The following is a 14096-nucleotide window of genomic DNA, read 5'->3' on the forward strand; positions in this document are numbered from 1 at the left end:
CATCCAGTTAGAATTTCCTTCGGTTCCTTCTTCCCTCAATCCTTTCTTCTAAGGCTGTAAGTGGCCTGAGGGTTTGCATCACTTTGTGAGTGTAAAATGTTAGGCTCATAAATGCTTAGTGAGAACACACCTTCTCTGTTTCAGACACTGTGCTCTGCCTTGGGCATACAAACATGAATAAGACACTGTGTCTGCTTTCCTGGAACTTTAGACTGGCAAGAGAGGTGGATTATTTTAGCACTACATTATTGGTCTTCTGATAGACACATGGACTCTACTGGGGGAGCCCAAAGGAGCAGTTCCTGACTCAAGAGAGTAGAGTCAGATTTTACCTCCTCCAGGAAGATAAAACCTGAGATCAGCATTGAAGAATGTATCGGTAGGAGTCAGGAGCATTCGAGACAAAAGGAAAAGCATAAGGAGAAACCAAAAGATAAGAAAAAGCATGGAATGTGTATGATAAAGAAGGGTGCTTCAAGTAGTTTGATATTTTGGAATGTAACAAAGGCTCATGATTAAATAAAAAATCACCAAGCTTAAGCCAGGCACAGTGGCTCACACCTGTAATCCCAGCACTTTGGGAGGCCAAGGCAGGAGGATTGCTGGAGCCCAGGAGTTCGAGACCAGCCTGAGCAATATAGTGAAACCCTATCTCTACCAAAAATATAAAAAATTAGCCAGGTGTGTTGGCGCACAACTGTAATCCCAGCTACTCGGAAGGCTGAGGCAGGAAAATTGCTTGAACCCAGGAGGCAGAGGTTGCAGTGAGCTGAGATCGTGCCACTGCACTCCAGACTGGGCGACAGAGCGAGACTCCATCTCAAAAAAAAAAAAATTAAAAAACTAAAAAATTAGCTGAGCATGGTGGCACACACCTGTGGTCTGAGCTACTTGGGAGGCTGAGGTGGGAGGATCGCTTGAGCCCGACAGGCAGAGGCTGCAGTGAACCAAGATCGTGCCACTCCAATCCAGCCTGAGTGACAGAGTGAGACCCTGTCTCAAAAAAGAAAAAAAAATTACCAAATTTAGAAAATAACAAAGGAAGGCCACAAACAGTGGGAGATGAGGCTGGAAGGGTTCACAAGAGCCAGTAGGTCATAAGGTCATGTAGGGCTTTGTGTGAAATGCTGAAGTTCGGATTTTATCATATGACAATGGAGAACCCTTTGAGATTTTAGTTTGTTGTAATGAACTACAAGTTTATAAATGTGTAATTGAATTTTCATTGGTATCACTTACATTTACATATCTGATTTGGAAACACAAAGTTTTAAATAAGTGATGTTGTTGAAAACATCTTTAATATATTCAGCAAAATGCAGTTTTCTTCCTGAAATACAACAAGCTTTTCTAATGATGGTTTAGAAAAATGATACTTGGTCAATATCCATTCTCCAATATTGTTTTGAGGTAGAATGTAGCCTTTGACCAACTTTTGCAAAGTAATAATTTGTTATTTAATATTTAAAGTTATTAATAACCTAAGATATATATCTAGGCTAGGAACTAGAGTCTTGGTTTACTAATAACTATTTTATAAATTAAAAATAACACTTTAGTTTCACTTTGATATTTCTATTTATATATCCTAGATGATGAATAATATTCCAAGTAAATGTAAGTATCAGTTAAAATATGAAACTTCCATTGTCTGAACTTTTGATATACGTAAAACTAAAGACAGTGTAAATAATCAGAGCTGTCAATTTTTTGGCTAAAGCCTGCCTTATTATTAAGCAAAATTCTACTTAAACCAATCACATAATTCCCTATTCTGAAGTCCAACAGGCTTTGGCTTCAGAAACTTAGAGGAATATTTCAAAAGGCAAAAGGAATCTATTGTTCCTCTGAGTCAGCTTTTCTCAGGAGATCACTGGTTCTCAGCTGCCCATTCCCGCTGCTCTTCCTTCATTCCTGAAGTTCCAGCTCTCCCTCTGGTCTTACTTCCTTTCAGTATTTATTTCAGAATAGGTCTGCTGATAACACATTCTTTTAGTTTTCTCCATCTAGGAATGTCTTTATTCCACTGTCACCCTTGAAGGGCATTTTCACTGGATATGGGATTCTGGGTTGAGTTGACTCTTTTCTTTCAGTACTTAACAAATGTTCACTTTCCTCTTGCTTCCATGGTTTCTAATGAGAAATGCACAGTCCTTTAAATATTGGCTCCTCCTGTATGCAATGTGTTGTTTTCCTCTGGCCACTCTCTTTCGTCTTTAGCATTTTGATTATGATTTGGATGGACTTAGTTTTCTTTGAGTTGATCGTATTTGGGGTTTGCTGAGCCTCTTGATTCTGTAAATTTATGTCTTTCACCAAATTCTGGAAGTTTTCAGCCATTCTGTCTTCAAATATTCTTAATGCATTAATCTTCTCCCTCCAGGACTTTAGTGACTAGTGATACAGTATTTCAATGACAGTTCATATTGTCCCACAAGCTCCATTCATTTTTTTTTAAATCTGTTTTCTTTCAGTCCTTCAGATTGGATAATTTCTGTTGGTCTGTTTTCAAGTTCACTGACTTTCCTATCTCCATTCTGCCAGTGATTTTTTTTTTTTTTAATTTCAAATATTATAGTTTTCAGTTCTAAAATTTACATTTAAAAAATAGTTTCTATTTCTTTGCTGAGAAGGTCTCTTTTTAAAGTTGTTTTAAAGACTCTTGTAGATTCTGGGCACAGTGGCTCATGCCTGTAACCCAGCACTTAGGGAGGCCAAGGCAGGCGGATCTCTTGAGTCTAAGAGTTCAAGACCAGCCTGGCCAACATGGTGAAACCCCATCTCTACAAAAAAAAAAAAAAAAATTAGCCAAGTGTGGTAATGCGTGCCTGTAATCCCAGCTACCTGGGACGCTGAGGTGGGAGGATCACCTGAGCCGGGGGGTTGAGGCTGTAGTGAGCTGTGATTATGCCAGCAATGCCTATATGCTAGAAATGGCTTTATCTCGTCCTAGTTTTTACAAGCTAAGCTGAATTCCACTCTATTCCTAAATCCCAACCACTTGGCTAGTAGTCCTGAATTACTCTTAAGACGGAGACACACAGAGGCCAACTGTGTGTGTAGAGTGACGTTACTGGCGATGTGGTCTTGTCAGGGGAAGGAGTATTCCCCCTACAGACATCTATCTAATATGAGCGGTGTGTCATCTTCAAATTGTTGTCTAATCTTACGACTGCACAAAAAATATAATTAGAATGTGTATAATACTTTCATATTTTCCAAAGTGATTGCACCAGCCTTCAACTCTTCAAATTTCTGGCCTCCATTTCAACATTCATGACTTGAGAAGTCGAATTTCTAGAAAATGCTTTTGAAAAACTCAACAGTGGAAAGAAACAAGGCTTTTCTTTTCATCCTCATGGTTTTCGTTATTTCTGTTATGACTTCTTTTGAAACTAATATCATATGTTGTGGTTTCCGCCAGCCTCATTTGAGCCTCATAGTATTCTTATGAGCTATTTTAATAAAGTGATGAAAGTCTGAAGCCAGATGATCTGCGTTTAAGCCTGGCTCTGTCACGTACCAGCTGCATGGCCTTGAACAAGTTAACCTCTATCCTCCTCACTTTCCTCATCGGTAAACGGGGATAATAATAATACCTCTCTCACCGGGTTGTTGCAAGTAGTAATTGAATAGTAAAACACTTAAATGGTGTCTGGCACAGAGAAAGAGCTGAATAATTAATTAGACATTATTATTAGTTTTCGGCAGGTGTTATTTTCTTCTCGCTGTGGATAACTGAGAAACAGAAGGTCAAGTGACTTGCCTGATGCCGAATGTTATGTCAGAGCCTCCTGCCTCCTTGTCCAGTGTTCATCCTGCTGTAGGCAGGAAGTGGGGAAGGGTCCAGAGGACATTTCTGCAGAGGATGAGGTGGGAGGCAGGGTCTATGAAGCTATGTTTGGGGGAAGAACTCGTATAAATAGCATCTCACACAGGGTGAGCTAACAGTTTATGCCAGATGAGAAGTGGATAAATGATTTCACAAATTAAGTAGCTCCTGAGAGACTAGTGTGTTATTTAAAACAAAACACACCTCTTCTCCCTCCCCCGGTGAGTTATTCTGGTAGACATTGGTAGGTTTTTTGGAAGAGATCTGCCTGGCAAAGAAATGGCTATTTAGTACAGCCAGCTTTCTCTTGCTGCTGTCAGTTTCTCAAATCCCTCTTAACTGCATTTTAAAATTCAAATTATCATATTTTAAGGGGCTCGTTAGGGCTTTTAAAAAATTCAAATGCCACCTAACTGAGGAACATTCAGCCAGGAGTGACTGACGTGACCACTCAGTAATTCTGGCCTTAGCATCTGTGGCTGAGCCATGAGATATCACATTAGAGCCCAGCAAATATTAATAACTTTCCAAAATCAGGTTCTTTCCACAGAAGCCTCCCTGCATCACTTCTATACATTTTCATCTCATTCCGTTCTTTCTTGCACCGTGAAGCCTGGGGTACACACATGCTCCTGTGACAGATTTATTTATGGTTCTGCCCAGCACTGATGTCTCTGAAAACCAAAACAGGGTCTGGGAAGGAAAGATGGGGTTGACTGGATGGTTGTGTTTGAAGCCCGATTGCAGTTTGGCTGGGTCAAGTTATTTTGACCCTTCCAGTCCACTGAACCATGCTCACCTCAGGGCCACCCCTGCAGTGTTGCTGATCTGCTTAGGTGCCGGAGAGAGCTGTTGACCTGAGTTCAGCAGAAAATTTGAAAGGATGAGTTCTCTCCTCTCATCACTCACCACCACATGTGAGAGCAAACTACTTATCCTTGGTTTCTGCCCATTTGCAAATTGATAAGCATCACACATGTCCTTTAAAATACCAGCCTCTGGCTGGGCGCGGTGGCTCACACCTGTAATCCCAGCACTTTGGGAGGCCAAGGCAGGTGAATAACTGAGGTCAGGAGTTCGAGACCAGCCTGACCAACATGGTGAAACCCCATCTCTACTAAAAATACAAAATTAGCTGGGCGTGGTGGCGGGTGCCAGTAATCCCAGCTACTCGGGAGGCTGAGGCAGGAGAATCACTTGAACCCAGGAGGCAAGAGTTTGCAGTGAGCCGAGATCACGCCATTGCACTCCAGCCTGGGCAACAAGAGTGAAACTCCATCTCAAAAAAACAAAACAACAAAAAAAGCAGCCTCTAAGAGCCACAGGAGGATTTTTAAATACAATGAGGCCACATGAAATAATAGTTTAATAAGGGTTTTAGTTCCTTCCAGAAATGACAACACACCATACTAGTTTCAAAAAAAGTCATTAATAGAAATAATGAAAAACAGGCTGAAAAAAACCACCTTGTTTCTTTCCACTATTTGGTTTTTAAAAAGCATTTTCTAGACATTCTAGAAATTCTGCTTCTCAGGACATGAGGTTGAAATGGACGCCTGAAATTTGAATGAGCTGAAGGCCTTTTCCTGAGGGTGCAGTGATAATGTTTTGCCCCAGTAACTATCTCTTTCAATTTGGTATAACCCAGTTGTCTTTAAGTGTCTTCCAGTAACATCTAGAGCAAAAAGCCTAGGAAATGTACCCTTCGAGTTAAAAATTCCTGGGCTGACTTCACATAGATGACATTCTCTCTCATTATCTGTCTGAAAAACAGGAATGATGACATTTGACTTGTCTTAACCCAGTCCAGCAGGAATGCTGGGAGACACAACAGCATGCAGTGTTTATTTTTCCTGCTGCTTTGCATTCCAGTGTCCTTGCCATTTTCTCCATATGCGCTGATATCACAGTGAAAGATCATCACACCCTGCCAGGCATTTTGCTGGAGGTATATAACATGTTCTCTTGCAGGTAAATTTCATAGCTTCCAGCCAGAATTGCTTTTTTGGAAAATGAAATTTTTCCAGGTGAAGATAAGAAAACTTAAATAATTAATATTAAGCAATTTTAACAGCTTGAGGAAAACCAAAGATTATAACCTGTGATGAGATGGTGCAGCAGATGTGATTTTTGAGACAGAGTCTCATTCTGTTACCCAGGCTGGAGTACAGTGGTGTGATCTAGGCTCACTGCAAACTCCACCTCTCAGGTTCAAGCGATTCTCCTGCCTCAGCCTCCTAGTAGCTGGGGATTACAGACGCCCACCATCACGCCTGGCTAATTTTTGTATTTTTTTCAGTAGAGATGGGCTTTCACCATTTTGACCAGGTTTGTCTCAAACTCCTGACCACAGGTGATCCGCCCACCTCAGCCTCCCAAAGTGCTGGGATTACAGGCATGAGCCACTGCGCCCAGCCTGGATGTGAATTTTTTAGCCACCTGCAGCCTCTAGGATTAGGCAGATTGAGAAAACAACAAGATGTCACCATTAAAGCCAGAACTTAGACATTTCAAGGACATTATGAACCTCACTCACTTGTGAAGTACCTCTGATGGTCCGACTCCAAGATAGGCAGATTGTGGAGAAATAAATATTTCCCTAGTCATTGTGATTACATTCCTAATGGACCTTCTCTGGTGCTGATACTGAAATAGTACAAAAAGTTGTCAGTACCTTTCAATTCTGTTGGTCAAAAATATGTTTTTCCTTTTTTTGTGTGTGTGTTTTTTTTTTCCTTTAAAATGAACATATACTTCCAACATAGAAGTTGTAACCTTTATATTTAACCAAGTTTCCAGTTGAAGCCAGTTTGGGGTGTGCATGTGTGTGCATGTGTCTATATGCGTGTGTGTGTATATACACACACACCAATTATATATATAGTATGCATGTGTGTATGTACATACAGAGAATTTTTGAGCTGGGGCCTTTTTAGCAGTAAAAAAAAAAAAGTAAGTTTTAACTAAAAAAGATTGTCTTCTTTCCATCTAGCTATTTTAGGCTAAGAGAAAAATGAAAGACTAATTACAAAAACCGTGGAGTTTAATTTCTGTTGTGCAAAAGAAGCAGTAGACAATATAAATGAATTCAAACTAGAAGCCACTAAGACATTTACTTCCTTCCTTCAGTTAAATATATTGGGTATTTGCTTCACTGTTTTATAAGTATGGAAATATGTGATTAAGGTGTCAAATTGCACAGCTCTGGTAACTGGAGACAGGGGAGGTAGAACAAGGGGCTGACTTTCTGATAAAGGTCTTGCTGTCAATTTCTAATGATTGTACAAGGGTGGCCCCTAAAGTGAGGCTGACTTGAGTTCACTTCACCTCACAATGTCTTAGTTTCCTCCCTTATTATAGGTAGATAAAACAGTATCTACTATAAGATTGCTGGGAAGACTAAGTAACATAATCAGTGTAGAGTTTCTCCATATGTATGGCACATATCAACTGCTCTACAAATGGTAGCTACAATTAATATTCAACTCAGCTCTAAGACCTTGGGCCAATCCCTTAATTCCTCTGACTCTTGGCCTATTTGTAAAATAAGAATACTGTTTACTCTACCTGCCTACTTACCCATAGTATTGTCATGAGGATCAAATGAGAACATGTCTTAAAAGGACTTTTAAAAATGAGTAATTGGCCAGGCACAGTGGCTTATGCCTATAATCCCAGCACTTTGAGAAGCTGAGGCTGGTGGATCACTTGAGGTTAGGAGTTCGAGACCAGTCTGGCCAACATGATGAAACCCCATCTCTACTAAAAATACAAAAATTAGCCAGGCGTGGTGGTGGGCACCTGTAATCCCAGCTACTCAGGAGGCTGAGGCAGGAGAATCGCTTGAACCCAGGAGGCAGAGGATTGCAGTGAGCCGAGATTGAACCATTGTACTCCAGCCTGGGTGACAAGAGCCAAACTCTGTCTCAAAAAAAAAAAAAAAAAAAAAAAAAAACAGAAGACAAAGCTGTACATAGCATGACACAATGGAAAACATTACAAGGTTGTGTGTAATCAAGTGTTGGTGTGTGAGGTTTAGAGAAAGGCAATGGTAGACCCTTAGGGAAAGAAGGCTATTATGGCATAATATTGGGGGACACTCCATATAGAGAAGGGGGAGGATATTCAGCTGAGCCTTGAAGATGACAGAAGGTGGCTGGGGGAGGTGACTTCTGCTTCCACTGGCACCTCCTGTTGGCTGATCTTTGCGGTCTTATCTGTCATTTCAGGCTGAGCTCATTGGAAGTCTCACCCACAAGCTGGAGACCCTCCAGGAGGCGAAGGGGAGCCTGCTCACGGACATCAAGCTCAACAACGCCCTGGGAGAAGAGGTGGAGGCTCTGATCAGCGAGCTCTGCAAGCCCAATGAGTTTGACAAGTATAGGATGTTCATAGGGGATTTGGACAAGGTGGTCAACCTGCTGCTCTCCCTCTCGGGGCGTCTAGCCCGTGTTGAGAATGTCCTTAGCGGCCTTGGTGAAGATGCCAGTAATGAAGAAAGGGTAGGTGGCCTAGTGATGCAGTTCAACAAGTTCTCCCTCAAAGCCCACATACATAGAGAGGCGCCATTAGACGCCATCCTTTCTCTCAGGAAGATTTGTGGCAATCTCTTTGGGGCAGGGAGAGAATACATGTATAGGTAACCAAGAAACAGAGAAGGCATTTTCTGTGTTGAGATATAATGCTGGCCAGGCGTGGTGGCTCATACCTGTAATTCCAGCATTTTGGGAGCCCAAGGCAGGCGGATCACCTGAGGTCAGGAGTTCAAGACCAGCCTGGCCAACATGGTGAACCAACATGGTGAAACCCTGTCTCTACTAAAAATACAAAAATTAGCCAGGCACCATGGTGCGTGCTTGTAATCCCGGCTACTCAGGAGGCTGAGGCAGGAGAATCGCTTGAACCCGGGAGGCAGAGGTTGCAGTGAGCCGAGATCACGCCACTGCACTCCAGACTGGGCGACCACATCAAAAAAAAAAAAAGATGTACTGCTGTACTGCTGACACTTAAGGCTCATGGAATTCTTGGGAAAGTAAGAACCACAGGCACCAGAGTTTCTTTCCTCCCAACTGTCTTCCTTCCTTTCTTTCCCAAAAAGATAAAAACATCATGAATACATTAAAACAGGGAGGGGGCAGGAACATAGGCTTAAGGCTCCAGGGCATCTCACATGAGGGGCCACAGGCACTCAGTGAGGACGCACCAGGGTGTCTCCACTGCACCCCCTCCTCGAAGGGAGGGTACAGGGGGACAGGTAACAGTGCTGACCCCACTGGAGACAATTCACCAAGAGCTTCCACCTGTCAGGCACTGTGAGCTTATGCGCAGTCTCATGGAATCCTCACAACAGCCCAGTGAGGGAGCTAGGATAGGAGGAGTCCTACTGCAGACTCCAAGTTGTATCACCGCATTGAACAGAATTCCAGAGCTATAGAGCATTCTTCATCCACTCCTCTGTACGGCAAATAGTTACTGGGGGTCTAGCGTGTGTCACTTAGTGGTCTAGGCACATGGGATACATTTGTGAGCAAAGCAGACAGATCCTACCCTCCTGATACTGAACAACAAACAGTAGACACAATTATTTTATATATATGTGCACACAGTATGTGTGTGTATGTGTATATACATGCTAGAAGATGGAAACTACTCCAGCCGTGAAGAGGGGCTCCTTTTCTTGCCTATGCTACCATCTTTTTTCTTTTTCTTTTTTTTTTTTTTTTTTGAGACAGAGTCTCACTCCGTCACCCAGGCTTGAGTGCAGTGGCGCAATCTAAGCTCACTGCAACCTCTGGCTCCCGTATTCATGCCATTCTCATGCCTCGGCCTCCCAAGTAGCTGAGATTACAGGTGCGCACCACCATGCCCAGCTAATTTTTGTATTTTTAGTAGAGACGGGGTTTTACCATATTGGCCAGGCTGGTCTCGAACTCCTGACCTCAGGTGATCCACCTGCCTTGGCCTCGCAAAGTGCTGGGGTTACAGGCGTGAGCCACCATGCCCAGCCTACCATACCATCTTTCTTTTTCATTGCTCTCATGAATTCTCCAATAATTTCTCCTAATACATTGCATTAAAAGGAAAGAGGTCCTTTTTCAAATAGATTTTAAAAGGATTAGAAAAAGTCTGGATCCTAAACATTTAGGAAAGTGACTCAGCATTTAGGAACTCTGCAGCGCCACTCTCAGCATCTTCCTCGTGTAAATGTGCTGAGTCAGCTTCCTTATCTAGAAATAGTCTGATACTACCTAACTCAGAAGTGTGTCCTGTCCTCCTTTCTTCCACTCGACAAACAGCTAACAGTAGCCTGTCAAATATGAGGTGCTGTGTCTGCTGGGGACAAATGCTGACTAAAACACAGGCCCTGCTCTCCAGGAACTCACAACTTATGGAGGAAAGCAGTATGGAGGAGCAATTGTGTGCTGGTGCTGAGCATAATGAGAAACTCAGCCACCAAACACTTCTCAGGTGGGGGAGCGTAAGGCAGGAAGGACTTCACGCAGTGACACATGAATACAGTTTAGAAGAACCTCTTAATTCTAAGAGGACTGAGAGGGGAAGGGCCTCACCATTTAGAAGAAATACCATAGACAAAGTCAAGAAAGAGATGCCATGTTTAAGAATTGATTTGCATGTGGTTTGGTATGTCTAGAACATACAGTGATTGCTTGGTTTTGTTTTTAAAAATAGTGAGCTAAGGCTGGGTGCAGTGGCTCACACCTGTAATCCCAGCACTTTGGGAGGCCAAGGGGGGCAGATCATGAGGTCAGGAGTTCAAGACCAGCCTGGCCAACATGGCAAAACCTCCTCTCTGCTAAAAATACAAAAATTAACCAGGTGTGTGGCGGGTGCCTGTAATCCCAGCTACTCAGGAGGCTGAGGCAGGAGAATTGCTTGAACCCGGGAAGCGGAGGTTGCAGTGAGCCGAGATCACACCACTGCACTCCAGCCCGGGTGACAGAGCAAGACTGTCTCAGAAAAAAAAAAAAAAAAAAGAGCTATGGGAATATTAGAAACTGACAGAAAGTACATGGCCCCATCAAAAGAGATAAAGAAGAAAGTTCAAAGAAGGTGTGGGAAGGATTAAGGGGGAAACCAGGAAGGGGTAATGAGGGCTCGCCCCTTGTCCCTCACCCAGAGCTATAGCATCAGCAGCAAAGCCATTATGGGCCTCTTTCTGAAGGGACAAGGAGAAGGGAGCCCTGATCAGAACCATAGCTGCAGCTGCCCTATAGCACTGAGGCCCTGGTAAAAGAATGCAACTGCCACCAACTCGAAGCCTGGCACAGAGGCAGCCAGGGATACATGCCACAGTTTCTTTTCGCACTCTCCAGTCTCTTTTCCATCACTCCCCTTGGTCAAACCCAGACAGCAAGGGAGCCCAGTGGATGCAACCCCTAGAGTTCAGCTTCCTTCAGCACAGGGCAGAGAAGAGTGGACCTGGAGAGGCAGACACAATATCCAGCACAGAAAATCATCACAAAGACCTTACCACAGTCATACACTAGACTTTAGACTTCAGCCTATAGGTAGGGAAGAGTCATGAACTAACTTTGTGACTTACTCAGCCTGGGGAGGGGCAAGATTGATGTTAAAATAACAGTTGGGAGGCTCATTTTAATAGTCTAAACAAGGAGGGTTTATGCTGTTGATGTAGGCAATTGTCCTGGGGGTAGAGAAGAGGGGATAAATTAGAGAATGAATTTGTATTAGCAAGGGGCATGTTAGATGAGGGGAAGGGTAGAGCAGAAAATAATTCCAAGTTTCCTATTGGGCCACCTGGATGAATGCTCTAGATATCTGAGACAAGAAAGACTGGAGCAGTTTCTAGTTAGGGCAAGATAAATTGTTTTAGAACCGAATTAAATTCAACACTTACATGCATGCCTGCACTCTTAAATACAAGTAAGTTTGCTCACCCAAAAAATACTATAGCAGTATTGTTTTTTTATCATGATTGGTCTTTGTTAAGAAACTAAAACTATAAGTAGAAATGAGAAAAGGAAGAAAAATAGTTACCAAATGGGGAGTAGTGAAGACCAGGATTGGGGAGGAGTATCTATAAGGCTTTAACTGAATCTCTAAAAAAAATTTTTTTAATCTGCAGCCAATATGAAAAAAGTGTTCATATTAAGATTTGGCACCATTAATGATAGGTACACAGAGTGATTCTTTATACATTACTGATGTCTAAAATATTTTATATATTTTTTAAGGTAGGTGATGAAAAAATTCTCAATTTTTTAACTTACATCTCAATGATACTTTGAAAGGCATCCTCATTCAAATTCAGTCCCTCAGGGTTTTTTGGGGTTTTTTTTTTGTTTTTTTTTTTTTTAAGGTATGTTTTTCTGCTTAGGGAAAGGAAACTTATGCCAATAAGCCTGTAATTCTTCACTTTTCCCCCAGGCATTATTATGTAAGATGTGACAGGCTAGTTTAGGGGGATTTAGGGCAAAGACACATGAGTCTTTGATAACCCTACATAAGCTATTTTGTATTGAGGTATACTTAAGTGATCTTATTTCTTGATTGATTTTCATTTTAATTTTCCACAATCACTTTTTTTTTATTTCAATAGGTTTTTGGGGAACAGGTGGTGTTTTGTTACATTGATAAATTCTTAGTGGCGATTTCTGTGATTTTGGTGCCTCCATCACCCGAGCACTGTACACTGTACCCGATGTGTAGTCTTTTATCCCTCACCCACCTCCCACCCTTCCCGCTGAGTCCCCGAAGTCCTTTGTATCCTTCTTATGCCTTTGCATCCTCAATAGCTTAGCATCCACTTAAAACTGAGAACATAAAACGTTTGGTTTTCCATTCCTGAGTCACTTCACTTAGAATAATGGTCTCCAACTCCATCCAGGTTGCTGTAAATGCCATTATTTTGTTCTTTTTTATGGCTGAGTAGTAGTCCATGGGGTGTGTGTGTGTGTGTGTGTGTAAACCACAATGTGATACCACCTTACTCCTGCAAGAATGGCAATAAAAAAAAATACATGTTGGCATGGATGTGGTGAAAAGGGAACACTTTTACACTGCTGGTGGGAATGTAAACTAGTACAACCACTATGGAAAACAGTATGGAGATTCCTTAAAGAACTAAAAGTACATCTATCATTTGATCCAGCAGTCCCACTACTGGGTATCTATCCAGAGGAAAGAAGTAATTATATGGAAAAGACACTTGCACACTCATATTTATAGCAGTACAATTTGCAACTGCAAAAAAGGGAACCAGCCCAAATGCCCATCAATTAACAAGTGAATAAAGAAAATGTGTGTGTGTGTATATATACATAACATATTTGTATATGTGTATATACACATATATACACATACTATATATATACACACACCATATATATGTGTACATACACATATATACACATATATATACACACATACTATATATATACACACACACACACACATACATATATACACACATACCACATTTTCTTTATCCACTTGTTAATTGATGGGCATTTGGGCTGGTTCCCTTTTTTGCAGTTGCAAATTGTGCTGCTATAAACATGGGTGTGCAAGTTTCTTTTCCATATAATTACTTCTTTTCTCTGGATAGATACCCAGTAGTGGGATTGCAGGATCAAATGATAGATGTACTTTTCATTCTTTAAGGAATCTCCATACTGTTTTCCATAGTGGTTGTGCTAGTTTACATCCCCACCAGCAATGTAAAAGTGTTCCCTTTTCACCATATCCATGCCAACATATATTAGTTTTTGATTATGGCCATTCTTGCAGGAGTAAGGTGGTATTGCATTGTGGTTTTGATTTGCATTTCCCTGATAGAACTGTTCAGCAGTTTTTCACGTTTGTTGACCATTTGTCCATCTTCTTTTGAGAATTGTCTATTAATGTCCTTTGCCCACTTTTTGATGGGATTTTTTCTTGCTGATTTATTTGTAGATTCTGGATATTAGTTCTTTGTTGGATACATAGTTTGCAAAGATTTTCTCCCACTCTGTGGGTTGTCTGTTTACTCTGCTGTTTTTATTTTGCTGTGCAAAAGCTCTTTAGTTTAATTAAGTCCTATCTATTTATCTTTGTTTTTGTTGCATTCCCTTTTGGATTCTTTGTCATGAACTCTTTGCCGAAGCCAATGCCTAGAAGATTGTCTTCTTTCCATCTAGCTATTTTAGGCTAAGAGAAAAATGAAAGACTAATTACAAAAACCGTGGAGTTTAATTTCTGTTGTGCAAAAGAAGCAGTAGACGCTTAATATAAATGAATTCAA

The 14096-nt window shown here is 41.5% G+C and overlaps 1 protein-coding gene and 1 long non-coding RNA gene across 4 annotated transcripts in view; one reads left to right on the top strand and one right to left on the bottom strand.

Moving 5' to 3' along the window:
• Positions 1-14096, top strand: part of SHROOM3 (shroom family member 3) — a 348025-nt gene that overhangs the window by 327336 nt on the left and 6593 nt on the right. The window contains exon 10 of the mRNA NM_020859.4: positions 8062-8334. Coding sequence (NP_065910.3) covers positions 8062-8334 — 273 coding nt within the window. The remainder of the gene's footprint in view (positions 1-8061; positions 8335-14096) is intronic.
• The window catches only part of SHROOM3-AS1 (SHROOM3 antisense RNA 1), a 92558-nt gene that overhangs the window by 52659 nt on the left and 25803 nt on the right, over positions 1-14096 (bottom strand). The gene's annotated exons all lie outside the window — the stretch shown is intronic.

The sequence above is a fragment of the Homo sapiens genome, chromosome 4, assembly GCF_000001405.40.
Source record: "Homo sapiens chromosome 4, GRCh38.p14 Primary Assembly".
NCBI lineage: Eukaryota > Metazoa > Chordata > Mammalia > Primates > Hominidae > Homo > Homo sapiens.